Source organism: Homo sapiens, chromosome 8 (genome assembly GCF_000001405.40).
Source record: "Homo sapiens chromosome 8, GRCh38.p14 Primary Assembly".
Classification (NCBI taxonomy): Eukaryota; Metazoa; Chordata; class Mammalia; order Primates; family Hominidae; genus Homo; species Homo sapiens.
The window spans coordinates 24380238-24407793 of record NC_000008.11 but is presented as its reverse complement, the minus strand read 5'-3'; the positions used below and the strand labels follow the sequence as shown (position 1 = coordinate 24407793).

At 36.2% G+C, this 27556-nt stretch overlaps 1 protein-coding gene and 1 long non-coding RNA gene across 5 annotated transcripts in view, besides 2 other annotated features; one reads left to right on the top strand and one right to left on the bottom strand.

Annotated features, from left to right (window-relative positions):
* The window catches only part of ADAM7-AS1 (ADAM7, ADAMDEC1 and ADAM28 antisense RNA 1), a 252805-nt gene that overhangs the window by 140825 nt on the left and 84424 nt on the right, over window positions 1-27556 (top strand). The window contains exons 2-3 of the long non-coding RNA NR_125808.1: window positions 19803-20043; window positions 20453-20633. This is a non-coding gene — a long non-coding RNA (ADAM7, ADAMDEC1 and ADAM28 antisense RNA 1). The remainder of the gene's footprint in view (window positions 1-19802; window positions 20044-20452; window positions 20634-27556) is intronic.
* ADAMDEC1 (ADAM like decysin 1) lies at window positions 1781-23509 on the bottom strand. Of its 4 annotated transcripts, none has more exons than NR_156422.2 (15): window positions 23202-23289; window positions 15414-15532; window positions 14456-14532; window positions 13647-13725; window positions 11998-12074; window positions 10338-10524; window positions 10049-10111; window positions 9243-9314; window positions 8754-8920; window positions 8320-8401; window positions 7494-7624; window positions 5702-5879; window positions 3706-3791; window positions 2350-2502; window positions 1781-2260 (listed from the first exon to the last, which is right to left on the bottom strand). NR_156422.2 is itself a non-coding variant. In NM_001145271.2 (15 exons), exons 4-15 carry the CDS (start codon window positions 14500-14502, stop codon window positions 2496-2498), a joined length of 1176 nt encoding a protein of 391 aa, NP_001138743.1. In that variant the 5' UTR covers window positions 14503-14532; window positions 15414-15532; window positions 17576-17665; window positions 23202-23289; the 3' UTR covers window positions 1781-2495. The 4 variants fall into 4 exon arrangements, 3 of the variants coding, with proteins under 3 accessions (NP_001138743.1, NP_055294.1, NP_001138744.1); NM_001145271.2 differs by adding an exon at window positions 17576-17665 and having other exon boundaries at window positions 1781-2502; NM_014479.3 differs by having other exon boundaries at window positions 1781-2502; window positions 23202-23509.
* Window positions 19442-20641: an enhancer, noted in NCBI's record as "BRD4-independent group 4 enhancer chr8:24244666-24245865 (GRCh37/hg19 assembly coordinates)". NCBI's record gives its function as "activates an origin of replication core promoter dependent on BRD2, P300/CBP, MED14 and CDK7 cofactors, and independent of BRD4, by STARR-seq in HCT116 cells {active_cell/tissue: HCT116}" and the evidence as "EXISTENCE:reporter gene assay evidence [ECO:0000049][PMID:35650434]".
* Window positions 19930-20189: an enhancer, noted in NCBI's record as "active region_27122". NCBI's record gives its function as "activates an Ori minimal core promoter by ATAC-STARR-seq in GM12878 lymphoblastoid cells {active_cell/tissue: GM12878}" and the evidence as "EXISTENCE:reporter gene assay evidence [ECO:0000049][PMID:35858748]".

The following is a 27556-nucleotide window of genomic DNA, read 5'->3' as shown; positions in this document are numbered from 1 at the left end:
AAATATTGTATGTTCTCACTTATAAATGGGAGCTAAGCTATAAGGATGCAAATGCACAAGAATGATATAATAGACTTTGGGGGCTTGGGGGGAATTGTTGGAAGGAGGGTGAGGGATAAAGGACTATATATGAGTACACTGCACACTGCTCAGGTGATGGGTGTACCAGAATCTCAGAAATCATCACTAGATTACTTATCCAGGTAATCAAAAACTACCTGTACGCCCAAAACTATTGAAATAAAAATAAAAATTAATAATTAATAATTATTGATGAGAAAAAAGCTATCTCTTGGGGAAAAAAAGGATGTGTACATATAAGTACCTATGTTTATTCTAAATTTCGGTGATATAATGTGTAGCATGCAGTTTTTGAATAATAATTAAAAATACAATATTACTATAATTCCAAACAGGCAATTGATTTTAACAGAATGCTTCCGTTGGTTTCTGTTGAACTATTAAGCCTTAGCCAAACTATGCTGGCAAGCAATGAACGAGTATAGTTCCAACATTTTGGTTGATATTTTTGCTTACATCAATGAGTAAAATTGAAAGAATAAAGACATATATTAGAATTTCACTCATTCATTAAAAGTGTGAGTGACTATTGAGTTGGATGATAGTTTTCAAATAATGAAAAAATATCCTTTCAAAATTTTATGCTTTCACATTTTAATTGCTATAAACAAGACTTACTTTTAAGTTAAAACTCCATCACTTTCTTAAGTATAGACAATAAATAAAACAATAAATCAAACCTCGATTTGTAGCATTTGGCTATTCTGTGCTAAAGTCCTCCTGTCATATACCACTGCAACGTGATGTCACTGGCCAGACAGTAGGGAAGAGGTCTCAGTAGCACATGCTTATATAGTATTTACATCACATAACTATGTTAGAGTTAAATAACTATAGAGCATAGATGAGTCAAATGTAGTAGAATAGGGAGTGATATGTTTTGAGTATTTCCTTTGCTTTTGCTAGAATTTAATTATGAATTTATACACGTTGGGTTTCGGTAGTGGCCGTGTTTAGCAACCAGCTCACAATATTTCTTAAAGTTTAACAGTTGACATTCACAAGCCTGTACTAGAAGTCTCCAGCATGCCACTGATTTTAATCCCTGCAGCTCAGTGAGTTTTGCTATAAGAAGCCCCTACCTGAGCACAAGGTCAGGGGTTGGGGGTGGGGTGGAAAGGATGTCCTAAGAAGCCCTTTTTCCTTCGAAGAATTGGCTGGAAGTTCGTATCAAACCCGTGGGCAGTGGAGATCTTGGCAAGGCATATCCTGGGGCTGCAGCCGGGCTGATATGCACACCTGGCATACAGCTTCACAGGAAACACTGGCAGTGCCAGCCCATCGATGACATCAAGGCCATGAAGGGGGAGATGGCCAACACTGTCATGCAGGGCATCCCAGGAGGCCCTTGGTTTCAAAGCCCAATCTTTAAAAACATGTCTAAGTTTCTAGTCTCCCAGCATAGGCATCTGTGGAAATTTAGGTAACTTTCATTAATTGTTAAAAATTATTTCAAGAAAGAAGCCTCAGGAAGAAGCCTAGTCTTCCTGTGTGACTGGCCTCACATCATGCCATTTTGGGCATGAAAAGATGATACAACCTCCTCTTCTCATGTTCATATAGCATTGCTTGGCTATCTGTGACAATATTATCAAATTACCAGAGCGATGATTTTCCAATGATGTGAGCTTCAGCACCTAACACAAACCTACAAAAGAAGCTTGAAAATACTCAGTTTTGAAAATGACCACACAGAAAAGCCTCAAAAGTTGTGTTTTTATTGACATTATGGTTCAATAAATCATTAAGCCTTCTTTGCTGGCTCAATTAAAATGTAAGCAATGTAGACTTCTCAAAATAAACTTCATATATGATGATGAAGGAGATGTGTGTATAGGATATACATGATAAAATGAAAAATATTTACATTGAATCATTCTTGACATGATGTAGAAAAATACTGCACTTTCAAGAGCAAGGCGAAGTGAACACAGAGGAATAACATAAAACCTGAATTCTATTCTTCTTTCTATTGCCAAAGCCTTCACCCATCAAGTGGTATTATTTTTTTTATAGGCCATACTAGTAAGATGAAAGAAGCATTAAAGCATAGTACTTGTAATTTAACAATTCTGGAGTGTTAACTCTGAATAGTTTAGCCGTGCATTTTAAGGTGATTTGATGGAAGACTGCTTTCTTTTGTTCTCCAAAGGGCAGAACTAAGTCACAAATTCATGATCTTTAAAAAAAAAGAAAAAAGAAAAAAAAAAGTAAAAAGAAAGATTAGGCCTAAACAAAGAGCCAATGTCTCTAATTACATCTGTTTACCTGTTTCCTGGACTGATAACAATATAGAAAGTAGAATGACAAGTGAAAGACCATTATGGGTGAAAATTCACAAGATTCCTGGGACAGTTAGAGTTCTTGGTTCTTGTCCTGGCAAGGTAGCATCTCAGTGAAGCAGACTTTTGGATTCACTCTCTGATTGAAGGAAAAATAAAATTTGGAAGCCAGGGTTATTACAAGTTACAAAATATTATGTAATAATGATAATGAAAATGTATAGAATTTAAATTATGTGAATAACAATTCATATTATTTAAGAGACTATACCATTAGCTGTATTTCATGAGTGAAAAAAACTAATTTATCTGGACTTAAAGTCCCACAGCTAGTTTCTGACAGAAAAGACTAGAATTTTAGTTTCCTGAGTCCACCTCCAATTTTCTTCCATGGTATAAATTGCCTATCTTGCACAGTAAGGGGCATGTTCACCTAGGGTTCCAAGCCCTTAAATAGCTGGATGATTTTTTTTCTTTTGTGATGCTATGTTTCTGGCCTGGGCACAGTTTCCAGAATTCCCTGCAGAGTGGATTCATTCCATGATTCATGTAGGCTGTATTAAATGGTGTTTGGTAAATAAACAAGCGTTGGTCCTTATCTTTGACCTTGCCTATCCATTCCCTATGAAATGATAATTGATGGTGCTTGAGTCAATTATTTTCTTTATACTGTCTCTGCAGTTTCAATTCCAGAAAAGAATTGGGAAAGAGGAGTAAAGAAAATGTATCCTGAGTCTTTCCCCTATTTTTTATTTTTCTTGTTGCCATTTTATATTTAGAGGTTATTTTTCACTGAAACAAGTACCATTTTCCAAGTAACTGGGTTCCCTAGCCCAGCTCACATAGGATTGTATAAGACACAGAACTACTACCTGAATTATGGCTCATTGAGACACTTTAAAGGGAGTAAAATTGTCAAATCTTATAGCATGTTCTTAAATGCTATTGATTTTCTGACAGCCTTGCAAATTAAAACTATCAGCTTTTAACCAAGAATAAAATGAGCTCATCAACTGAGGCTGTTTTTAAATACACTTTTCTTTTCTCATTTTGGTTTGTATTAAACTCATCGTTCTCTAACGGGAATTTAAACAGTTTTTGGCATAGATTCCAGCAGCCCTAATCTCACAAATGTCAAAGTAGCTACTTTCTCATGAGTGTTTGTCTACAATCCTTAGTCATGCTCATAATGATTGCTAGTTTTCCTCTCCAAAATTGAGTCGTTTGAAAAATATAAAATACATTGTGTTTTAGTGTATTATGGAACCCAGTGGCATATTTTTCTCAAATCTGAAATAAACGTGAGAAAACGTTTTGGAACAAAGAAAACAAAAGGTCTTACGTGGTATGGTTTGGAGCATCTCCTCCGCAATCAGTTCCAGGCTTCAGTTTACACGTTAGGGCTTCACAGCAGAGATTGGTACACTCCTTCAAAGCACACACACAATGGAAAAAGGTGGGTTCAACATTTTCTTCCCATAGACTAGGTGATAGAATTCTGGCACAAGATGGCAATGAAAGTTTACTTTTTAAGGTAAATTACTCTGATAGGCAAATTCCAGTGAAAATGACCAAGGACATTGAAAAATAGAAAACAAAATATTATCAGCAATGAAGACTTCTCAAAAGGTGAGAAATAGAATTATTCAAGAATTTTTCAAAAATAAATTTTGTCTAGATGTATGATGTGTAAGTCCAAACTAAAAAAAATTGAACATACAGCAGAAAGAAAAATATGAAAATAATTTAGAAAGCCTTTCAAAAGTGCAGGAACTCCATGAAGAACTTTATATATACATTTCCTGAGAAACTTTAAAGGCAACTTGTCTTTTAAGACAATACTTAATATTGTAAAAATATCAGTGCCCTTCAAAGTTAAATATAAATTTAATGCATTTCCATCAAATCTCAATGGTATTTGAGGGCAAATTTGCAGCTAAAACAGTAACGACAAAACAATGAAGAGACTTGACATTAAAACGCATTGTCAAGTTACAATCTTTAAAATAGTGTGATGCCTGGGAGAAATATCTAGACAGAAAGCTTATTTTTAAAATCTAAAAAAAAAACCCTAACTATATACCTAGGAATAATAAACTGGGATATCAGATCTATGAGAAATTGGATTACTCAATAAACAATACTGTATGAAGTATACATACTACTTTTTGGAAAAGAAAACAGTTATTTAGAAATTCAGTTGTTCCTAAGCCTGAACTCTCTGGTTTTATTCAATTACATAAGAAAAAAATCAACAAGATATGAAAATAATACAAGAGTTGACTGACATAATTCAAGAATTTTAGATGTTACATATTGTGTATACAATGGTCCTCTCTTGGCCTCTTCCTTCATCCTTTCCCCCTTTCTTCTCTGTAAATACATACCATTTACTTGCTGAAACCAGAAGTACCTAGGGTTTTGAGTATCTTCAATTGTCTTCCACCCAAGAAACCATAGATGAATGTAAGCAAGTAAGAACGAGATAAACGTAACTCTAATTTGCTATAAAATGTCAAATCTTTTGTAAAATTCCATGCCTCTTTATAATTAACAGAAAGTTTACAATATTCTTCACAAATGACTAAGTTAGGCTGTGTAGTCTTCTGATCTAATCTAACCAGCTAAAATTTCTGAATACATAAACTGAAGCATAGAGAGTTTAGACGCCATGTTCATTGTCACAGAGCCATCTTAAGTAATGGATACTTCTTGGACTGCATCCTGCTTCACCAGTGGAGCAACAGAATATCTTTTAGAAGGCAATGGGATTGCTAGTGATCAGCATTCTTTAGAGTACATAAATGCCTTGAAGGAGTCTAATTTATATAAATTAGCAGAATCATAGTGCTTATTCTGGATGTTCTATGTTAATAGCCTATTTTCTACAGATTTTTGTGATTATTTTTTCTTTTCCTCTTTCTTCTCTGTTTACAACCTGGTTTATACACTGGCTTGATGAGAAAAGACCAACTCTCCCTCTGAGTAGAACTTACTTCTAGATCTCTAATTGTTACTGTTCAACAGATGATCAACTGTGACATTATGTCGTCTAGGGATTTCTGACTAATACACGTTTTGGAAAGATTGCAAGTGACATGTTATAGTTAACAATTTACTTTTTTACATTTAACTTCATATAATTATGTCAAAATCAAGTCCTAGTTTTTGAAATGCCTTTCAAAGGATTACTAAATTCAGTAGCAAAAACACAAGCACAAATCTCCTTTTTAACTACGATGCCAAGTTTGTCTTTAGAAAGAATTTCCAAAAGAATATTGGAAAACAAAAAGAAAACTGCATAATTCTTCTGCCCCAATAATTCTAATAAATAATACCTTAGGAGAGCCACAATCACAGTCTTCTCCCACTTCTAGAAGGTGGTTCCCACACACTGGTGTTGTCATTATATTTGTAGGAATAGGTGCTTGCAGCAGGCACTTTGGTTTCTGAGATAAAAGGTATCTTTCAAAATGTGCACGGCAAGATGTACTGAAATCCTTTGGGAATTTTGAACTGTAATCAGAAGAAAACTCAAATAATATGATATACAGTGTGGTGCCTTCTGCGTGAAACACAGAATAAAGATAAAGAAACACGAGACTCTGATTTATCTAACTGTATTACCGAGCTCAATGGAAATTCCAAATTTGGCAACCATTTAGGACTGCCCTGTATTAAATGTGGTGGGTGGTAGAGCATGCATACTATGGTATTTGGACATTTTTCTTCCTAGAGCCTAAGTCACAGAGCTGGAAGGATTTCAATTTCCATGTGGCCATTTAATGTTGTTCTAAAGGACAGCAGTGACAGCCATCACCATTTGTAATTATCCACTCATTTTGCATTGAGAATTGAGGGGCAAGAGATAATAATAATGAACCAGTGAAGGGAAGTAGTTGCAGGCTTCTGGGCTTTATGGAAATATTTCTCTCCTTCTTTGTGAGCATTTCAAGAACAAAGTATGTTTTATTTATTTTTCTATCCCAAAGTCTTTGCAAAGTGCCTGGCATTCACAGGTAATTCATAAATATGCAAAAACAGATTGATTGGTTGATTGATGATGGGAATATAAGAAGATCCTGTCATCAACATAATGAGATTAATATTTTTAGAAACTATGGGTTCATTTTCAGTTGGAATTATTTTAAGTTAAAATTATAAGGTCATCATACGTGCAAGCTCTATCTTGGCATATTTGGAAATCTTAAAGAATGAGCCCTGGTAGTTTTTAAAATTTGTGCATCAAGAGACTGGAAGTTGAATTAATGGGATACACAACCCTTGGGAAAAGATATGTCCATTCAACATCTGTAGACTGCTTCCGAATTCTTAAAGATTTGGAAAACTACTCATAATAGCAAAGACTTGGAACCAACCCAAATGTCCAACAATGATAGACTGGATTAAGAAAATGTGGCATATATACACCATGGAATACTATGCAGCCATAAAAAAATGATGAGTTCATGTCCTTTGTAGGGACATGGATGAAGCTGGAAACCATCAATCTGAGCAAACTATCGTGAGGACAAAAAACCAAACACCGCATTTTCTTACTCATAGGTGGGAATTGAACAATGAGAACACTTGGACACAGGAAGGGGAACATCACACACTGGGGCCTGTTGTGGGTGGGGGGAGGGGGAGGGATAGCATTAGGAGATATACCTAATGCTAAATGACTAGTTAATGGGTGCAGCACACCAACATGGCACATGTATACATATGTAACAAACCTGCAGGTTGTGCACATGTACCCTAGAACTTAAAGTATAATATATATATATATATATATGAAAAGAAACATTCATTGCAAGTGTCCCTAAACATAATTTACTTGTAAAATAGCACTTTTGATGTCTTTATGAAACATATATCAGCAGATTACTGTAATCCAAGACTAGGTTAAGAATGTAATATGTTACCCTACACGTTTTAAGATTGTTTTTTGGGTAACACTTTCAATCTATCCTGTTGATTAGTATGTATTTTATAAACAATTTTAAAATCTGTTTTGGAACAACACAAGATCTAATATTTAATTAAACAATAGAGAATAATATGTGTCTTCAGAAAAAAAAAAGATTTGGAAAATATCTCTCTCCTTTTAGGATGACAAGGTCTCACCTCAGATACTGATTCATCACACAACTGCCAGAGGGACACTTGGTGTTGAATGGAACATCAGGCATACCAAGGACATGGCCCAGCTCATGTGACATCACTCCTACAAGAGCCACATTATTCTTTTTTTTAGCCTGGAAAAAGTAGATATATTTATTTATTCTTTTTTTATTTAATTGTTGCCAATGTGCAGTACTTTAAAAATGGCTTAAGAGATGAAAACTAGTGAATTGTTAGCTCCTTTCCCTGTCACTGTGTATTGCAAAACGTTGAAAGAGCATTTAAAGTGGTTGGGTCCTATGAATACTTACATTTTATTCAATAAATATTTGTTGAACTAATGGATACTAAGTTACCAGTAAATCATGGTTGAATTAATTACATTCTTCATAGGAAGTACTCATAGGCACCATATCGGAGGTCTCCAAAACCTATTGCTATGATACCTATGACACTGGAGTTCTTGGCCATATGACACCTGCATGCACCCTTCTTCCTTGTCTGGCCTCTCTGGCCATAGATACTGGGGATGACTAGTATTAGCCCAGGCCACAGAGGGTACTGGATGCCCTTTCTGCTCCAATATTCCTACTCTGATTTTCTAACATGAACTAAAGAATGATATGGCACGTTCTAGCAAGGCTGATGTAAGGAAATGTTCTGTCGCATAACCCAAGGGATCTTCAGTGCAATGACCTACCAGTAGTTTCATTTCTTCCTTGATTCATTGATTCAGCAAATGTTCATTTTGCTCATTCTATATAAGGTGTTATGCTGGCCTTCATAGAGGATACAGAACCACAGAGAGCCTTACTACAAATTTACAAACCTCAATAACAGCAACCGAAGATGGGGAACACAAGGAATTTGAAGCTGCCAGTCCCACACGTCGATTGTTGAAGCTAATCCCGCTGTATGAAAAGTTACAGATACTACTGTCACAATCTGAGTCTTTGTAACCATTAGCTTTTGTTAATTACATTAACGAATTGCCTCGCTGCCCTAGCCTTTTTATATTCACTAGGCCCCAAAAAACTTCTACTATTCCTTAGTGTTATGACCACAGATGGTTATCTTATATCCAAGAGCTCATTCTATCATCTGATTATTGATCCAATAATGTCACAGGTGAATTGCTAGTGGTAAAATGTCAAGCACTCTGACAGTTGATCAGGGAAATATTACAGAGTGGAAATCCCTGCTAAGGAACCCTGGGGATAGCTATCCATTCTGCCTACATTCACCTGGCCAGCATGTGCTCACCTGAGAAGCTGAGCATGGTCGTGGATCTTTTTCCCCAGGTTAGAACTGTGCCATCTCAGGAAGTTGTCAAACGTGGTGCTTGCGCTGGGCACCACCTTTATCTTATCCCCATCAGACCAGATTTCCATACCTACCAAGGCCACTTGAACATCTATGGTGTTATATATCTGTGGAAAGAGCATTTATCTTCATAAAAATGTTCAGGATTCCTTTCGTGTCTGAGAGCTTTTGTTGACCACAAGTAATAGATAAAGTGATGGACTACAAGTAATGAATTTCCATTTTGAAAGTAAAAATTTTAAAAGTTGTCTTTGTTGCCATGCATGTGATTTCACCTTGATGTTGATGCTTGTTCTGCTAAAATTTCCCTGAACTATTTAACTTAAGACATTTGGGATCTTTTTAACTTCTTGTTGGTGAAATCTTAGGGAAGTTCCAGGCAGAACTTCCCTATGCAGAAACATGAGGTTTACATGACTAATGTCTTACCACATTGAGTAGGTTCATCACATCAAACACAAAGCTTCTTATCAGAGTTAGATTCTCATTATAGTTCTTATACTGTAAAATACAAAACACAAAGTATAGTGAAATAGCAGATTACACTGAGAAAGCTGATGGCATACAAGATTTCACATTTTAAGAAAAATTATGAATTTCACTACAATTAACATCTATTCATTCCATAATTAAATAATGTAAGACTGCATTGTGGCAAATTCTATTTCAAATGTTAGGAGTTTTTTGATAAAAGTTAGACATTCATGTAAAATTTTAGTGTTCTTCATTTTAAAGTTGAATACATCAAATTAACAATTTTTAGGTTTTTAAACCGAATCATGTGATTAAAATTTGATTACAAAACAATATTTACTAGATAGAAATGTAGATTCTAGTATTTTCCTCTGTATCTATCAATATAGTTTCTAAGTTATATAGAGTTTTGTGTTGATTTTATATTGATATAATATTTATATTAAATATATTTAATTTTATATTAAGATATAAAGTATTGCAATATTTTAATAATGCGTTCCTTTTATTTTTCTTTTTTGGTTGATTGCCTGTAGCTATCTGGTATTAAGTATATTGCCAATACTAAATATTTTGGTGGCAGATGGATATTAAAGGGTATGAGGAGATAACTATTGCTGGCAAGGCATGTAAACAGCCAAGACACCCAGGTGGACAAATGCCCCATGATTAGCTAAAATAGTTTATTGCTTGCTTTTGCTTGATAAGTAAACTTAAAGGGTGACTGAACTGGCCGAGAGGGCCGTGTGTTTCATACTCACAAAGGCATTATCCAGCACCAAATAGAGATCAATGTATTTCTGTGCCCGAAGAAAGTCTTCTTTCTTTACAAAGAATAAAAGAACATTGTTAATCATTATCTTTATCCTAAAAGATTCCAAAGCTTAAAAGGAGACTTGTTTTCCTAAAATAGAAGATAAATAGAAAAATAAGTAAATAAATTATAGGCTTGACACATACACATACTACTCATTTCTAAGAATAGTAGTATATTGCCTATCTTTGCTGAGACAATTGAAGTAAATGATGAGGTAAGGGAATTGTATTCACCTCTGGGCTTTTGAGTGATCTAGAGATTCGAATTGGGCCTTGTTTCCCGTCAGTGCTCTTCACACCACATGTGTGGTTAGCTGGGTCTTGTTCCTCCTGGTTAGATGTAAAGACGGCATGTTCTTTCTCGTCTGTGCTTTTCAGAGGTTTTATCTGGTATCTTTGGTGATGATGTGTGAAGTATCCTCTGGGAGATATAGAGACTTATATTTCAGGATTCCTGACACACAGTGTCATATTTGCTTCCAAGAATGGATTGATGTCTGCCCCTCCATCCCAATTTCACACATAGCCTTGTCATTCATAGACCTTTCAGCTAACTTCTGGTAATGTAAGTTAGAATCACTATTTGTCGATATAAAATGAAGCCTAACTTATTTACCAAGAGAATTCTGAACAAGAATTATAAAGATGAAGCAACCCCAAAGAATTTGGAATTTGCACCGTGGTAAATATTTTTCCATAGTTTATTGATTCATTTAACAAATATTTCATGGCAGATCCTAGGACTATAATGGAAAATGGAGTAAGGGAATGTTTAGATAGCAAGAACCCCAGAGGGGAACATGAATGATCAGCAGGCCAACCAGAGTAACACGTTGGGATTAGAAGTAGCTTAAAGAATCCCTCTTTCTATAATCACAATAGTATGATAATTAGTTCATAAATAGAAGGTGAATCCATATAATAAAATATTACAATCCAACTTAACTGTTCAAAATTATATCCCTGAAGGTATTTTATGATATGTGAAGAACTTGTCGTGTGTGTTATCAGCCATGTTGGAAGAACAATGTGGTTTTTTTTTTATTTCAATGCTGTGAAAGATACATTTGTCTATATGTGCACATAAGGGTGCAAACATGACAAAATGTTAATAACAGTGATTACTCAGAGGTCAACTTTTGTGGTAGTTGTTACCTTCTTTTTCTTTTTTTTTGTTTTGAGACGGAGTCTCGCTCTGTCGCCCAAGCTAGAGTGCAGTGGAGCTATCTTGGCTCATTGCAAGCTCCGCCTCCTGGGTTCATGCCATTCTCCTGCCTCAGCCTCCGGAGTAGCTGGGACTACAGGCGCCAGCCACCACACTCGGCTATTTTTTTTTGTATTTTTAGTAGAGATGGGGTTTCACCGTGTTAGCCAGGATGGTCTCAATCTTCTGACCTCCTGATCTGCCCGCCTCGCCCTCCCAAAGTGCTGGGATTACAGGCGTGAGCCACCGCACCCGGCCTGTTATTTTCTTATTTGTGCTTTTTCTTACTTTCCAAACTTTCTCTCATTGGCAATAATTATCTACGTAAACAGAAACACATATAATTCTAAAATTAAGTTCAACTGTGACCATTGCAGGGAAGAATGTTTTAGAAAACAGGAAGTAACTGTTTCAGAGAGTAGGTTGGATAAACACAGAAGTGGATCCAGATATCATCAAGGTCCAGAGTGTAGCATTCTTGTTTTACATTGCTAGGCCTGACTTCTCCTAGAGCAGCAGATTATGAAATGATTGTCAGGGTAATACTTTGTTCTTCACTTTAACCACATATATTCAGCATTTCAGCAATGAAAAATTTACCAAAATAGTAAGAAGACAATATCTAGTAGCCCTTAATTCTGTGTAACAAAAAGCTTCTTGATCTTGAGTAATTTTGATGGTAGTTCTTACCTCAACCCGTCACAAGTACTGATGCTGGCAACAGAATTCTTTTCATTTAGGATGTTTCCTTTATAGTAACAGTGTTCCTGGAGTGGAAAAAAGAAATTATGCTTCAGAAATGTGTGTGTGTGTGTGTATGTGAGTGTGTGTGTAATGTATAAACTATGAGAATACATGTATCACAGTTGTGAGGAAAGCTACCATCTTGAATATGTAAAAATTCTTCAAGTAGTGACTGTGGCCAGACCAATCCTCAGAAACACAAACAGCAAGAACCTCAGAGGTTTTCAGAATTGCTTCACTGGAAACTCTCTATATTTGGTGGCTGAACTGTTTTTCTGACATTAATTTACACTAAGGAGGAGTCCAGGGAAGTTAAACCTAGGTGGGCTCATAGTGAAAGTGGATGCTTTCTCTGAGAAGTAGCCAGTCCTCTTGGGATGTACAGTACTCCCAGTGGGTCCTCAGGTTTGGGGGTCAGTGCTCAAGAATTTGGCTTCACTGTGCTGAGTGCCAAAGGCACTGTGCATTACAAATAAGTAAAATGAGACATCTATTTTTCTAGACTGGGGAATCCCAGATATTTCACACTATCACTCCTGAGCTCCTCAGACTAACTGATTTAATCACTGTTTTAATTGGTCTGTTAGTGGAATCCCTTTATCAGCCTCAAAGACACAAAATTATTTGTCTACAATTAGAGATTCAGACATGATTGTTGGCCCACATCAGCAAAGTTAAGGGGCCACTTACGTGGAGTGATCTAAAAAAGGTAGTGAAAAAACTCCAGTGCAAAATAAATTGACCTGCCTCAGGTTATGAAATTCCATCTATGGTCTTTTCTCCCTTTTTGGAAGAGATATCGTCAACATAAACATTTTCTCATAGAAGACTTGAGAAGATTCCTCATTAATGTATCATCAGCTATTAACAATTGAGCATAAATTAATTTATCAGACACTGTCCGCTGAAGATAGTGTTAGCAAAAATTCAGATGTTCATGAAATAAGTTTTAATGAGCATGGGGAACAAAGAACCATTCTGTGGCAGAAGTCTTTTTTTTTATATAGAGAAATGCAGGTTTAGGGTACCTTGTAGGATGGCTCTGAGAAGCTGTCTTAGCCTGGGAACATGAACATCTCTTGATTGAGATTTATTGTATTCTCTTCATGATATTCTATGCCATGATTCTTAATGTCTGACATTTGGCCCTGGTATTGTCTACGGGATGATGATTTAATCAGATATAAAAATATTAATTATTGATATTTCATTGCTGACCTCAGGATAAATGCATGTATCTCCAAAAAATAGTAAATAGTGACAAGAGGTTTTAAGTACGTATAGAGAAGAACTTTTCTAACCTATGGATAAAATGGTCTAGGGAGAAGTGGACTTTTGGTTGCTTCCAAAAATGTGACACTTGGAAGCTTTCTGCTGCTCCTATGTTTTAAAAGCTGAATGTGATTTTCCAAACTGTTGTCTCATTGATCATAGATAAGCAACTTGCTTTCAAGTCCTTTGATTATTTTTTGAAGCTGTTCATGGACCTATGAATTTTATAAAATAATTGAGCCCTTTGGAGATCTTAGTTAACATTAGCACAAACTAATAACATCTAAAACTCAAAAGAGACCCACAAAGTATTCGGACCCTACCATGTTCTCAGGTTTCGTGGTAATTTCCTCTCCTCTGGGTGAGTACAATGTTTCAGTGTAGTCTGGCCCCAGGAGGTGCCTGTAGAGAGCAGAGAGCTGCATGGACCACTCAGGATGGTAAGAAAGGCAGAACTTCCTGAACTTCAGCACTAAAATAGTGATAGTGTCTACAATGATAAATAGCTAAGGTTCTGACCTACTAATCCTCTTCCAACATTGGAGCTCTGTTGCTGAAGCAAATCAGAGAGTTGGTTCTTCCTATTAAATCCGAGGGAGGAAGTCCCCTCATCTTCTTCCCATCTGCAGATCCCTATCTTCAAATTAGTAATTTTGAGATTTCTTGCACCAAGGACACAACCTCCACAGAACCTTTGAAGGGTGCTGGGTCACAAATATGCTTATAGGCCCATTGCATTCAGGGAGAAGTTTATTAACTGCTATAGAACTAGGAGGAACCCCATCCCCTGGAATCTATCTCTAGGCCATGCATTTTGAATCAGCCTTGGACACATATTCTCATAAAAGAATGGAAAGCTGCATCAAAGTCTTGAGTTTATCTGAGTAGAAAAAGAAGTTCACTAAGTTCCCAGGTCAAGGAAGAAAGTCATTTATATATGCCATTCCTTTTGTTTTACATTTTGTATATAATTTCCTAGGAAATCAGCCTTTTTAGCACAAACTAGTATCATCTAAAGCTCAAAATGCCTCATGTCTTCTATGTCAAACCACACTAAATGGAGCCTCAAAAAGATTGCTCCCCAATTTCATAACCTAATCCAGTGATTAGACTTTTAGGAGGTACAACTTACTTGGTTTTTTGTAGGGAGAGAATGATTTCTTCTCCATTTAAGATCATCTGATATTGAACTTCAGGTTCATACCTTTCCTGAAAACATTTAATTACATCAAGCAATTTATATTTCTGAGCATAACTAAAATAATTATATATGTAGTATGTATTAGAAGAACAATTACAAATGCATATAGGATAAAAGCAATTCTTTTGTGTTTTTAAAATATGTAAGACAAAACAAATTATGCACTAACATGGACTTCCAAAAAGTACAATTATGTGATAATAACACTTATAGATTAAACTAGCTTTAATATGTGAGATAGGGACTTCTCATTTGCCCTAATGTACAGTATACTGTCTCAGGATCAGCCAGGGAATCAAAACAAGGTGTGTATTTTTCTTACTTTAAAACCAAACTAAATACATTAAATTAAATACTAAAAAAAAAAAAAAAAAAAAAAAAAACCTCTCAACCCACTAAGAATTAGGTAACAATTACAAAATGAGGGAAATACTTGCAACAATGTAATAGTCAAAGAATTGGTATCTTTAATCAGTAATAAAATATTATGTTAACTACTGATATAAAATTTAATTTTTCACTATTGACAAAATGGCTGAGGAAAAAGACAATTCACTGGAGAAAAGGGGTGGTGAGGCTTGCCAGGAACAACATCTCCGTTAAAGATGGCCGACCTTCCCGGGCTTCTCTCCTCACTCTCAAACTTAAGAGAAATGTCTAAGCAGCTTTATCCTTTCTTATCAAGTGAGGCTGTTGACTCTCTGCTGCTTAACCATAGCAGCATTCTGAGAAATTGTGAGCTGTCTCCTGAACAAAGGGGAGTTGTATACATGGGCTTCAATATGAAACTATTACATAGTAACTGTAACATCACTTCTGTTAGTGAAAAGGCTTTTTATTGTCTCTTTGGATGATTGTAACATCTACCACGGTCATTCACCTTGCTTACCTCTTTGCCATGCTTTTCTGTCTGGTTGTTCTTGATCTCTCTTTTGTGTAAAATGTGAAGTTTTTTAGGACAAACTATTTCATGGAGCGTTAATTCAGGTGTTTGCTTTATGGCTATTGCTAGAGAAAGAGAAATAATATTCACATAAAAGATTTAAAGGTTTTGGTTTTAGTCGTGTTGTGTTTTGTTTTCATTTCTTGGGTTGCTGAAAGAGCAGTGAAGACTACATTCCTATGTAGAGAGCAAACATTATGAATAACAAGTTAATTGTCGTTCTTCAGCTTTGATGACAAGGATTTTTTTTTTTTGCTCTCCCTCCCACTATTCTGAAAAGACATGAAGATTATAAAACAATTCTTTAGATGATCTCTCAGTGTATGCAAACTCTGGACCACCATGCCCAGAAAGGACAGGTTATGGATTAAGAACAGGGGTTGTGTGAGCCTAGAATTCTACCTGTAGTAATCCATTTCCTTATTGCTTTAGAGTCTTCTTAAAAATTGTGAATTTTTCTCTCTATGCCCTCCAAGACTTTTTCTTTTTTATACCCTTTTCCCTCTGAAGCACAACCCCTGATTATATACTCTAAAGATAAAGTTTTTCATTTGTGTATAATCATTTACTTTTAGGAAAGACTCTACTAGCAGTAATTTTATTCCTCAGTGTGTCAATAAGCCATGATGCTTTTTCTCAGCATTTTCCCCCAAGACTTTAGATTTCAAAGAAATAAAGTTTTTGTTGGCCTCTCTTTGAAAGTTTTAAAGCCTCAGAGAGGAAGTAGGAAGATTGTTTATGGACACAATGTTCTTGATGTACTTGAAATTACATTGCATAGACAGATTTTCATTGTTTACAAATAGTAGAAAAGAAATTATCTTGGAGCCAAAAGATGTGGTCTTATGCCCTAGCTAAATAACCTCGTAGAAGTAACTTCAGCTTTGTACCAGATTATTATCTAAGGTATAGGTTAGTGTAAAACTTGAATAAGATAAAATATATAAAATTATTTAGTACCCTATTAGGAAGATGGCAGCATACTTTTTCTATTTTTTCTTTTAATTATTCAATCATTCATACAAGGTCAGTCTTATTTCTGAATGCTCACATTTTCATACATAAGTATCTGTGCTTAGAGACAGTTTTCCACTCAGTATGACAGAGTGATCTTAGGGAAAACAGGAGATTTTATACCTGGCTGATACGGAAAATGAAAGGAAATTACAAAGCAAGAATTCCCTCCTAGTCAGCTCCCAAAGTTCTGCTGTAATGCTGTCCTGAGAAGGATTCATCACATACTAAAACAGGAAATCTAGAAATGTATGAGTAAATGATCTTTTATTAAAAGAGAATATGAGTCCATTAGTGGAAAAAGCCATGCGCTTGGAATGAGAATGAATTTTAATAATGTCTAGTCCCAACGTTAGCACTAATCATGCAATTTTGGAAGAGCCCTCAAAATATCTGTTTTCCTACCTCACTTCTTGTTCTGTCTACCTTATTTGGCTTTGGGGAAACTTTATAAGAGTAGATTACAATGTGATTTAGCCAAAAACCTTCGCAAGATATATAAAGTAAAAAACAAATAAAAAAAAAATAAAACCAAATCCAACAGTGTTGTTTTTGTTATTGTTGTTTTGTTTTGTTTTGTTTTGTTTTGTTTTGAGACAGAGTCTCGCTCTGTCACCCAGGCTGGAGTACAGTGGCCCGATCTTGACTCACTGCAACCTCTGCCTCCCAGGTTCAAACGATTCTCCTGCCTCAACCTCCTGAGTAGCTGGGATTACAGTTGCGTACCACCACACCTGGCTAATTTTTGTATTTTTAGTAGAGACAGGATTTCACCATGTTGGTCAGGCTGGTCTCGAACTCCTGAACTTGTGATCCACTGCGTCAGCCTCCTAAAGTGCTGGGATTACAGGCATGAGCCATTGTGCCCATCCCAACAGTGTCTTTTTAATGACTATCAAAATGATAGTCAAACAAGGTTGAGTGAAATTTCAACCTCTTAATACTCAAAAATGTATTTTAAAAATGGAGACATTGGGTCAATATTATACTCTTATTTTAACTATGATGTCTCAAATCACTACATTTGATTTTTCACATAGAAGAAAAAATAATGTAAACGTATTACATTCTTTTCTAGACAGTAAGCAACTTACCTTCTCTGATATTTCTTTTATGTGAAAACTGAAATATTCATTTCACAAATATTTATTGAATGCTGACTTTAGGCCACGCACAGTTTGAGGCTGTCAGGTTAAATAAAATAATAGAATAGACATTGATCCATGCTCTTATAAAATTTACATTCTATTGGGAAATGATATTATATTATGTATGTTTATACATATGAAGCATACATTATGAAAAATTATTTACAGGTTGGAAGATGATAAGTACTATGGTGATGAAATATATCAGAGTAAAGGAGATTGTGAATGCTGGATTAGAGGTGAGTGTTGCAATTTTCAATAGGGAAGTAATGATAGTCACATCAAGATGATCACTTTTAAGCCAAGACTTCAGGAAGATGCGGGACTGAACCATATTGTTCTTTAGGAACAAAGAGTTCCGGATAGAGGAAACAGCTAGTAATAAGGTTTTAATGTGAGATCCTGGATAGAGAGTGCATTTAAGAAACCACAGGGATCTAGCTGGAATGGAATGAGAAGAGTGAATAATAGAATATGCAAGTAGGTTGGTTATGGAAATGAATAGATTGTGCAAGACCTGATAGAAAATTTGGCTTTTACTCTGTGTGAAATGGGGGCCACTGGAGAGTTCGGAGTAGAGAAGTAACATAATCTGACTTTTGTTTAATAAGATTGCCCTGTCTGATCTGTCAAGAGTATCCTGCAGAGAGGCAAGTGTAGAATCAGAGAGCTCATTTAGGAGGATATTGCAGTAATGTAAGACAGAGGTGGTGGTGACTTAGATGAAAGTGGTATCAGTGGAAGCAGTGAGGTGTGGTCAAATATTGGATATATTTTGAAGGTGAAATCAATAGAATTGGTGAAGGATTGGATATAGAACATGAGAGAAAGAGAGGAATCAAGGATGACTAGATATTTTTGCCTTGAGCAAACAGAATTGCCATTGACAGACTTGAGGAAAGGTGAAGGAAGAACAGATATGTGGGAAAGGTTCTGGGTATATTGTTTTGAGATGTCTACTAGGCATCTGTAGAGGCCAAAGCAACTCCATCTTGGATGCTAATCTGGCAAGTTGGCTTCTGATTAATCCCTGTTCTGGGATCCCTCTAAGATTTCCAGTGTATCCATTTTTCCTTGTGTAAGAGCAGGTACTTCTCATAAATCTTGCCCTTGGGTCAAACAACTGTAATGCTATCATACCTCAATTGTCCCGTACATCCCTTCTGAACCACCCCTCACCTACAGTATAAAGGCCCTGGATCTGGAGAGTAATGGAATAGGGATCCACCATCTGTCTTGTCTTGTCACCACTCAGGACATAGACATGGCTTCTCTTTGTAAGTCCTTATTAAAACTTGCTTTCTAAGAAACTGGATCTTTTAGCCTCTTTCTTTGGCATCTCAGCTTCCTTGGGCTTTGGGGCAGATTTGCGTAGACCTGCCCACCATGAAACAGCATCTAAGTGGATTTGTTGGAAATAAAGTGTACATTTTAGTGTGGAAGCAAAAAGATGGGAGTTGTCCTCTTGTGGATGGTACTTAAAGCTAAAGATTAGATAAATCACCAAATAACTGAATGCTGCTACAAAAGAAAAGAGTATCAAGCACTGAGCCCTGGGCTATTCCAACATTAGGAAATTGAGAAGAGGAGGAACCAGTAAAGGAGGCCAGTGTGAGGTAGGAGTTCACCAAATGAAATGGTGTGTTTCATGCCATGGAAAAGGAAAGAGAGAGGAAGGCAGAGAAAGAAAGAGAGGAAAAACATGAGAATATGATGCCCCCAAAATGACCACTGGATTTAACATCCTTGAAGCCGTAAGAGCAGTCTTGGTGGAGTGTTGGAGATGAAAACTCTGTAGAAGTAGGATAGAAGAGAATGGGATGAGACTAACTAGAGAGAAAGTGTATAGACAGTACGTTTGAAGATTTTTTTATGCAAAAGGGAATGCTGGGGATTGGTCAGAGTGGTGGGAAAAACTATAGGGAAAGGACGCAAACCTACTGAAAGTTCTCAAGGTTCTGCAGAGCCTCGGGGAAGAATAACTGAAGGCAGCTATTCTATAACCCTGAGGCAGAGGGCAAGAAGTAGGTACCAGGGAGTGTAGGGGAATTTATCTTAAACAGGCTCATCTACTTATGTTGACCTGGAACTGACCTTTGATCATCCGCACACCTGACGTTCCCTGAAAGGGGAACAATAAATGTTAATTACCTACAGTTTGTTTTTGCTCCAGGTTTTTGGCATTGTGCTTGCACTGAATAAAAGCAAGCAGCTCCAGCTTCTCCGGGCTGCTCTTTGGACACCAGAGCCAGGCAGTCACCTAGCTGCTCTTACAGTGCATACCTGTGTCTGAATGGTCATTTCATCCATCTGCCAGCGTCTGCAGGACAGAGCCAGCAGGTGGTGCCCTGTGTGAGGAATGCTGCAACAGATTGTGACAAAACCCTCGAGAATGAAAGTGAAGTGACTGCGCAGTAAGTAATTGGTGCCTGCTGGGGATTTCCAAGTTTGAGGGGATTTTCAAGCTAGGGTTTTGTCATGGGACAACAGTTAACAGCTCAACAGCAACAGTATATAAAAGTATTGAAACAGCTGCTTAAAGCTAGCAGAGCCTGTGTCTCAGAGGTGCAATTAAGGGACCTTATGCAAACTGTTGTTTTCTATAACCCATGGTTCCCAGAAGAAGGCTTGCCAAACCTAGAGCTCTGGGAACAAGTGGGGAGAAATCTTAACATCATGCACAAGGGCAACGGGTCCCAGTAACATCTTTAACGTTATGGGCCTTAGTCAGGGCTGCTTTGTCCCCACTCTACACAGAAGAGCCTAAAAAGGGAAGGGAGGAAGAACCATCATCTACCTTACCACCTCCTCCTTCTCCCTCAGCCCCGCCGTTACCGAGTAAAGGTGCCACAGAGGAGACAAATATTTTCCCTGAGCCCTCTCTCCCAATATATTGGAAAAAATACAAGGGATACACTACTGTTATGGGACCCTGTCTTAGTCAAGTGGAATTAGAAGGGAGCTCTTGACCTGCCCAGTGATGCAAGATCAACAAGACAATCAGGTACGTGAACTCATTGCTTTCAACACTTCTAAAGAAATAAGAAAAAGCATTAGAGAAAACAGAGCCACTAGCCCATTTATGAAAGGATTAACTGAGGCCATAGCAGACAACTTCCATATGACCCCATGGGACTGGTCAGTGCTAGCTAAAACAACTTTAGAGACCAGTAAATACCCCCTCTGGTGAACAGAATATGATGAGTTGTGGGAACAACAAGCCAACCAGAATCAATTGGCCTGGCAAAACATAACAGCTGCTCTCTGGCCACTAGGGCCAGGCAGCTCTAGCTAGCTGCTCTTACACTGCATACCTGTGTCTGAGTACTCACTTCATCGGTCAGCCAGGGTCTGCGGGACAGACCCGGCAGGAGAGAGAAAATTTAGGATGTTAATTGGCAGAAGAGAAAGAAAAAGGATATTCATTTTAAGTTGGGATAATTTTTATATGCTGATGGGAATGATTCCATAGAGAATATGGAATAGATACAGTAGGAAGGAGGGAAAATGTTAGGTCAATGTCCTTGTATGAGAAGGGATAAGATCTAGAAGACAAATGGAGGTGTTAAGCCAGCACAGATAGGTCAGATAGAGGAGCAGAAGGTAAGGCTGATCATATAGGGACAAGGAGCAGTAGATTGGTGAATATGGCAGAACGCCAAGTAAAACCTTCTTGCAATCCCTCCCATTTCCCCCAGAAACTTCTGGCGTGGTTTTATACACATAAAGCAATACAAATGTAATGCTGAAGTTCATTTTGCTTAGCAGTTCAGTGAGTACAAGTTTGTTTGAAAATGATTGTTTCATGCACTGTTAAAAATGATGGTAAGATTTTATGGAAGTTCCAGAAAGTTGTGAGATTGAAAGAAGAATAATTTACCAGATAAGATTGTGTATGGGTAAACATAAGAACATTACCAGGTATAAAATTATATAGTTAACTGCAACCTAATGAATATCTTCCAAAATAATAGCTTTCATTGTTAACTATTGGGTTATCTAAAGTAATAGGGAGGAATGTTTAAAAATGTAGGGCTACTTGGGCACTATGGGCATCATAGACTATCATCAAATTCAGAAGTATTTCAGTGACTTTTTCAGCAGAATATTGTGAGAACAATATTAATAGAAACAAGTTTCACTTTTCTAGAAATGTATCTATGAGTATTTTGAGACCTCTGAGGAATGGGGGGAAAAAAGATATGTAGATTTTTTTTTTTATTTCAATCAAGTTCTATTTCATTACATGTTGTTTGACTTCTCTTTAGGTACAATTAATTCTCATCCGACAGCACAGGCACAGTTGTTCAGTTGGTCAATTAATGTTTTCTTTTGTTTAATAATGCAATTATAATGTATTACATCTGATTTTTGTTTAATAATGCAGTTATATATGATTTAGCCCTCATTCTATTTTAAACTCTTCTCTGTCTTTCATCCTAGCAGAGCTATGATTCGGAAGTTGTCTTAAATACATGGATTTGATTTTTGGCCAGGAAGTTAGTTCTGTGTTGTCATTGGGATGGTGTGTTTTAGAAAAGAAAATAGATCTAGTAGAGTTATTAAATAAGAAATACAGTTCCAGAGACATCCTTACTAAATCATTATGCAAATTACAAAGTGTTGACTATAAGCCTGTCTTTATATGTTTATATGGATCAAATAATTGAATTTGAAGACTTCAGTAAGCTGTGTGTATATATCGCATAATTATTGGTATAATAATTACTCCATTTTATCCTTCTTTTGGGTATAGTATTGGTGATGCACAATGAGGAAATGTAAAAGAATATGAAGGCTAGAGCCAGCCGTATGTGTGCAGCTTTTGCACGGCAACTTTTAGGCAAGTGGGAATTTTGTGGGGAGCTTGGATAACTCCTCAGCTATGTACTTTACCTGTTTCAATATAGGGTTTAGCACAAATGTGTTTATACATGGAAATACGTAGGTTTACAGCTTGGCTTTTAACATGCTTATTATGTGATCACTAGTAAAATAACCAGTGACTTGAAAATTATTTGTAGGGTGTGTATAGTGTGTCATCAAAATGGTTCATCTATCAATAATATCAATAATCAATCTCAAAGACAAAAAGGGTTCCTTTTCCAGAACTAGTCATTTTGACCCTGTCATTCTGCTTTTAAGAATTTTTCTCAAGGAAATATCCCAAAGTGCAGATTTTTTAAACAGCCATGATTCATGAAGATGTTAATAAAATTTTATTTAGTAGAGAAAAGACATAATGAATGGAACAATATGTAGCTTTTTTTTCCTCTATTTTGGAAAATATTGTGCAAACATAAAATTTGTTAAAATATATAACAATTGGAGGAAATAGGACAAATTTTAGAATCCATGTTTCATATAGTGGTTTAAAATATCCTCACTCAAAAAGATACACATACTTATGTATATATAGTTCGCTTTTGCAGAGAGGTAGAAAATCTACCAAAATGCAAATGGTAATGGTCTTTCGACCATAAAAACATATGCCATTTTTTTTCAAAAGGCACTTTAAACATTCATCAAATAATTTGACTTTTATGTAAAATGCTGGTGTGATGGTACGTACCTTGAGTTTGAACAATGAGCCAAAGTACAGGCAGCAGGACCCAAGACATGGTGGCCACTGCAGGTAGCTGGGAGATCCCACGCAGCATGAAGTTGTGGTCTCCCCAGTGTCCAGTTTTATCTTCTCCAATTTCTCTTTAGAAGTTGAACAAGAAAATTAAAACCCCCACTTTTCGTGTGAGATTGGGGAATGTTTCTTAAGAGTGTTGGGAAATTGTCAAAAAATTGCAGTGTCAACATCATGAGAATGTTCCTCATCTTTGAGAGATATTTATGGCTGTGGTTATAGCTCATTGAGGACTCACATCTGGACACTGTTTGCCCCTGGTGCTCCTATAAGCAGTGGGAATGTGTGAACTGAGACTGAGGTGGTCGCGTGCATATCTACATACTCACCAAACTGGACCATTACGATTGTTGTTCAGTATCCTTATAGAAATAAATCCACATATTTAGGACATATATCAGTATTCTGTACATATTTTGAGATACTGTCACAGTGAACACAGAATCTAAAAAGCACCAGGTAAAGTCCTACAAACCAAGATACTGAAAATCTCTCTAACATTCAGTCTCCTAATGAGTCAACAGGGGATGCTGATAATTTTAACTGCCTCAAGATTCTTATAAAATTCATATGCATTTGCACACACACATATGCACATGCATGTAAAATTGTAAAGAAATGTGCATGTATAAGAAATGTACAAGAAATTTAAATAACCTTGACAGTGCTGGCCTTAACCGAACTATACAACATATGAAGTATGTTCGAGGTGTACTTTCTGAGTTCTACCTTATACAATAACAATGTTTCTCTGACAAATATGGTAGATTTTCATGATTATAATATCACAAGTTTATTATGAGAAAAAAGTTGACTGCCAATGATCCGACATCAAGAAATAACTTCTGTTAACGTTTTTACAATTTATTTTCATCTTCTTATGCAGAAAAGGAAAGCTAACCTTATTGGGCAAAGGGTTTAAGAAACTTATTTTTTTTTCCATGGCACTATGACATAAGCATTCTCATGACATTGAATATTAAGACATAATTTTAGTGATTTTAGAATATCATATTTTCTACATATGTGTGTGTTGAGTGTCCATGTAATGTTTGGTTGTGTATATTTCTTTAATTGAATTTCTGGTGACTTCAGGATAAATGTCTAGAAGTGCTATTATTTAGCTAAAAAGGGTAAATCAACTTGAGATTATTGATAAACATTGACTCAGTGCTTTTCAGAAAGTTAGGGCCAAATTAAATCATTATGTATAGTTTTCCCAATCTAAAAACCCATACCTTCTAACTGCTGAACTTAACTTTTCACTGATACATCTGGGAGTTTCCTAACATCTAATTGGAACTTTAAAAATCCCCTCTCTATGTCTATTCTTCACTTTGTTGCTGTTCTACCTTCCTTTAAAATAGTAACATTTTCTCTATAATTTTGCATTTCTTTTTCTGGTCCAGAGATAGGCATCCTTCTTATATCCTTTATGACCCGCCATTAATATTTTAACAAAGTATAATGCTAATTATGTCTCTATCATCAAATAATAAAAGAATCCTGGAATGGTGAACTCTTATCAGTGCCCTACCCTTTAGCACATTACATGTTGTTGTCAAGTATTTTAGTTTATCATGATTTTGACCCCCATGTTACTCATTATTTTTGTGTGTGTTTTCTACAGATGTTTGAAATTATTCATGTGTACCACCTTCTTTGCTCGCAGGTCCTTTTAGCATCAGTTATTTTTTTTTTAATTCTTCATTAAACATATTCTTTTTTATTATTTCTATAGGTTTTTGGGGAACAGGTGGTATTTGGTTACATGAGTAAGTTCTTTAGTGGTGATTTGTGAGATTTTGGTGTACCCGTCACCTGAGCAGTATACACTGAACCCAATTAGTAGTCTTTTATTCCTCACTGGCTTCCCATCCTTTCCCCCTGAGTCCCCAAAGTCCATTGTATCATTCTTATGTCTTCACATCCTCATAGCTTAGCTCCCACTTATAAGTGAGAACATACAGTGTTTAGTTTTCTGTTCCTGAGTTACCTCACTTAGAATAATAGTCTCCAATCCCATCCAGGTTGTTGCAAATGACATTAATTCATTCCTTTTCATGAATGAGTAGTATTCCATCAAATACATGGTGTATATGTGGTGCATATATATGGTATATATGCATGTATGTATGGTATACATCATATATGTGTGTGTGGTATATACATATATACACCAGTTTCTTTATCTACTCTTTGAATGATGGGCATTTGGGCTGGTTCCACGTTTTTGCAATTGTAAATTTTGCTGCTATAAACATGCAATACACAATGAAATACCACCTTACTCACATAAGAATGGCCATTATAAAAAATAAAAAAATCATAGATGATGTTGGTGTGGATGCAGTGAAAGGGAACACTTCTACACTGCTGGCTGGAATGGAAACTAATACAGCCACTATGGAAAACAGTGTGGAGATTCCATAAAGAGCTAAAAGTCTAACTACCACTTGATTCAGCAGTTTCTCTACTGGATGAGATTTGGCTATCTTTTGGTGACCATTATTGCTGTGGACAATTTTGCTTTCTGGCTATTTAGCGGGAACTAATTTGCTTATTAATTATACAACTAGTATTGCTAGGGCAGTTGAATATTTATTGAAATCATATTAAAGTTGTGTTTCTAATAAATTGCTACTACATTTCTAAGGATTCTAAGCTGACTGATACTGTCCTTGCTATTCACATATTCCCACAATAAAGTCTAATAATGGAGACACAACCACAAACAGGTAGTCTGTACAAATATGAAGTATTATGATTGATATTTGTGTATTGTGCTGAAATCAATTTTAGAAAGGCCATATCACTTGATAGGTGGAGAGAATCAGATAATACCTGGAAAAGGAATAGTGGAGCTGGTACTATGAGCAAAACCATGAGTATATAGAAAATCATACTGTTTGTTGAAGTGTATGTTCCTCATGACTTGAACGTAACATAAAGGAACCAACCCAAATGCCCATTAGTGATAGACTGGATAAAGAAAATGTGGCACATATACACCATGGAATACTATGCATCCATAAAAAAGGGTGAGTTCATGTCCTTTGCAGGGACATGGATGAAGCTGGAAACCATCATTCTCAGCAAACTAACAAAAGAACAGAAAACCATACACCACATTTTCTCACTCATAAGTGGGAGTTGAACAATGAGAACACATGGACACAAGGAGGGGAACATCACATACCGGGGCCTGCTGGGGGGTGGGGGGCTAGGGGAGGGATAGCATTAGGAGATATACCTAATGTAGGTGACGGGTTGATGGATGCAGCAAACCACCATGGCATGTGTATACCTATGTAACAAAACTGCACGTTCTGAACATGTATCCCAGAACTTTATAATAAAAAAGTAATAGGTATGTGATATAAAACTTATAACACATGCAGAGGCCAAGTTATGGGGGAACAAATGATCTTAAAGAAGGTACATATTTGAGAGATACTTAGCTTACACAATTATCAGACTTGCTGATTGATTGTATGTAGCCACTCCCAGTTGGAAGACACAGAGGAATCTAGAATGAGTTCTAAGGTTCAGCTTGAGCCACTATATAAATCTTCCAATTTGGTGTCTTGATGGAAGTTGCAGTTTGTTAATCCATTAAAAATGGAGTTATATATCCTGGGGCACCCTTCAGGACCACAGCACCATGATGATAATAGATGTTTAAAATATTCATTTAATATATGAATACCATAAAAAATTTGAAAACTAAACTCTGCATAAGATACAGATGCTGTTTATTAGATAGTTGAATATCAGCCTATAAATCAAAACTGTGGGAATAACAGTGAAGAAATTGTTTACCCAATGCATCTGGAGGGAATGAGAAATAGAATATATACAGAGCCTTATGAAGACAATATTTAAGGATTGACTAAACATAGGATTTAATTTATGATCCTAAAACTAAGAAATCACGACCAACATCCTGATTACAAAGAATTTTATTCCCATAAAGCTTGCAACTTAACATTTTAGAATGTTGCATAATAACATATTTTTGATTTGGGGCGGATGTTTAAATGTTGTCAAGCTACAAATGAAAATAGAGCAGTAACATGGACAAAAATTATGATAATGTCTTGCACAAGTAACGACTTTTGCATACATGATTTTCTTTGGTCATAATAACAACAGATACAAGTAGTCAGTTCAAAGATTGTGGTTCCCATTTTATAGATGACTCAAAGAGGTTAGGTGATCTAGTATACTTCAAATCACCCAGGTATGTAATAGATGTCTCCAAGGTCATTAAGGTGGGAAAAGACGTG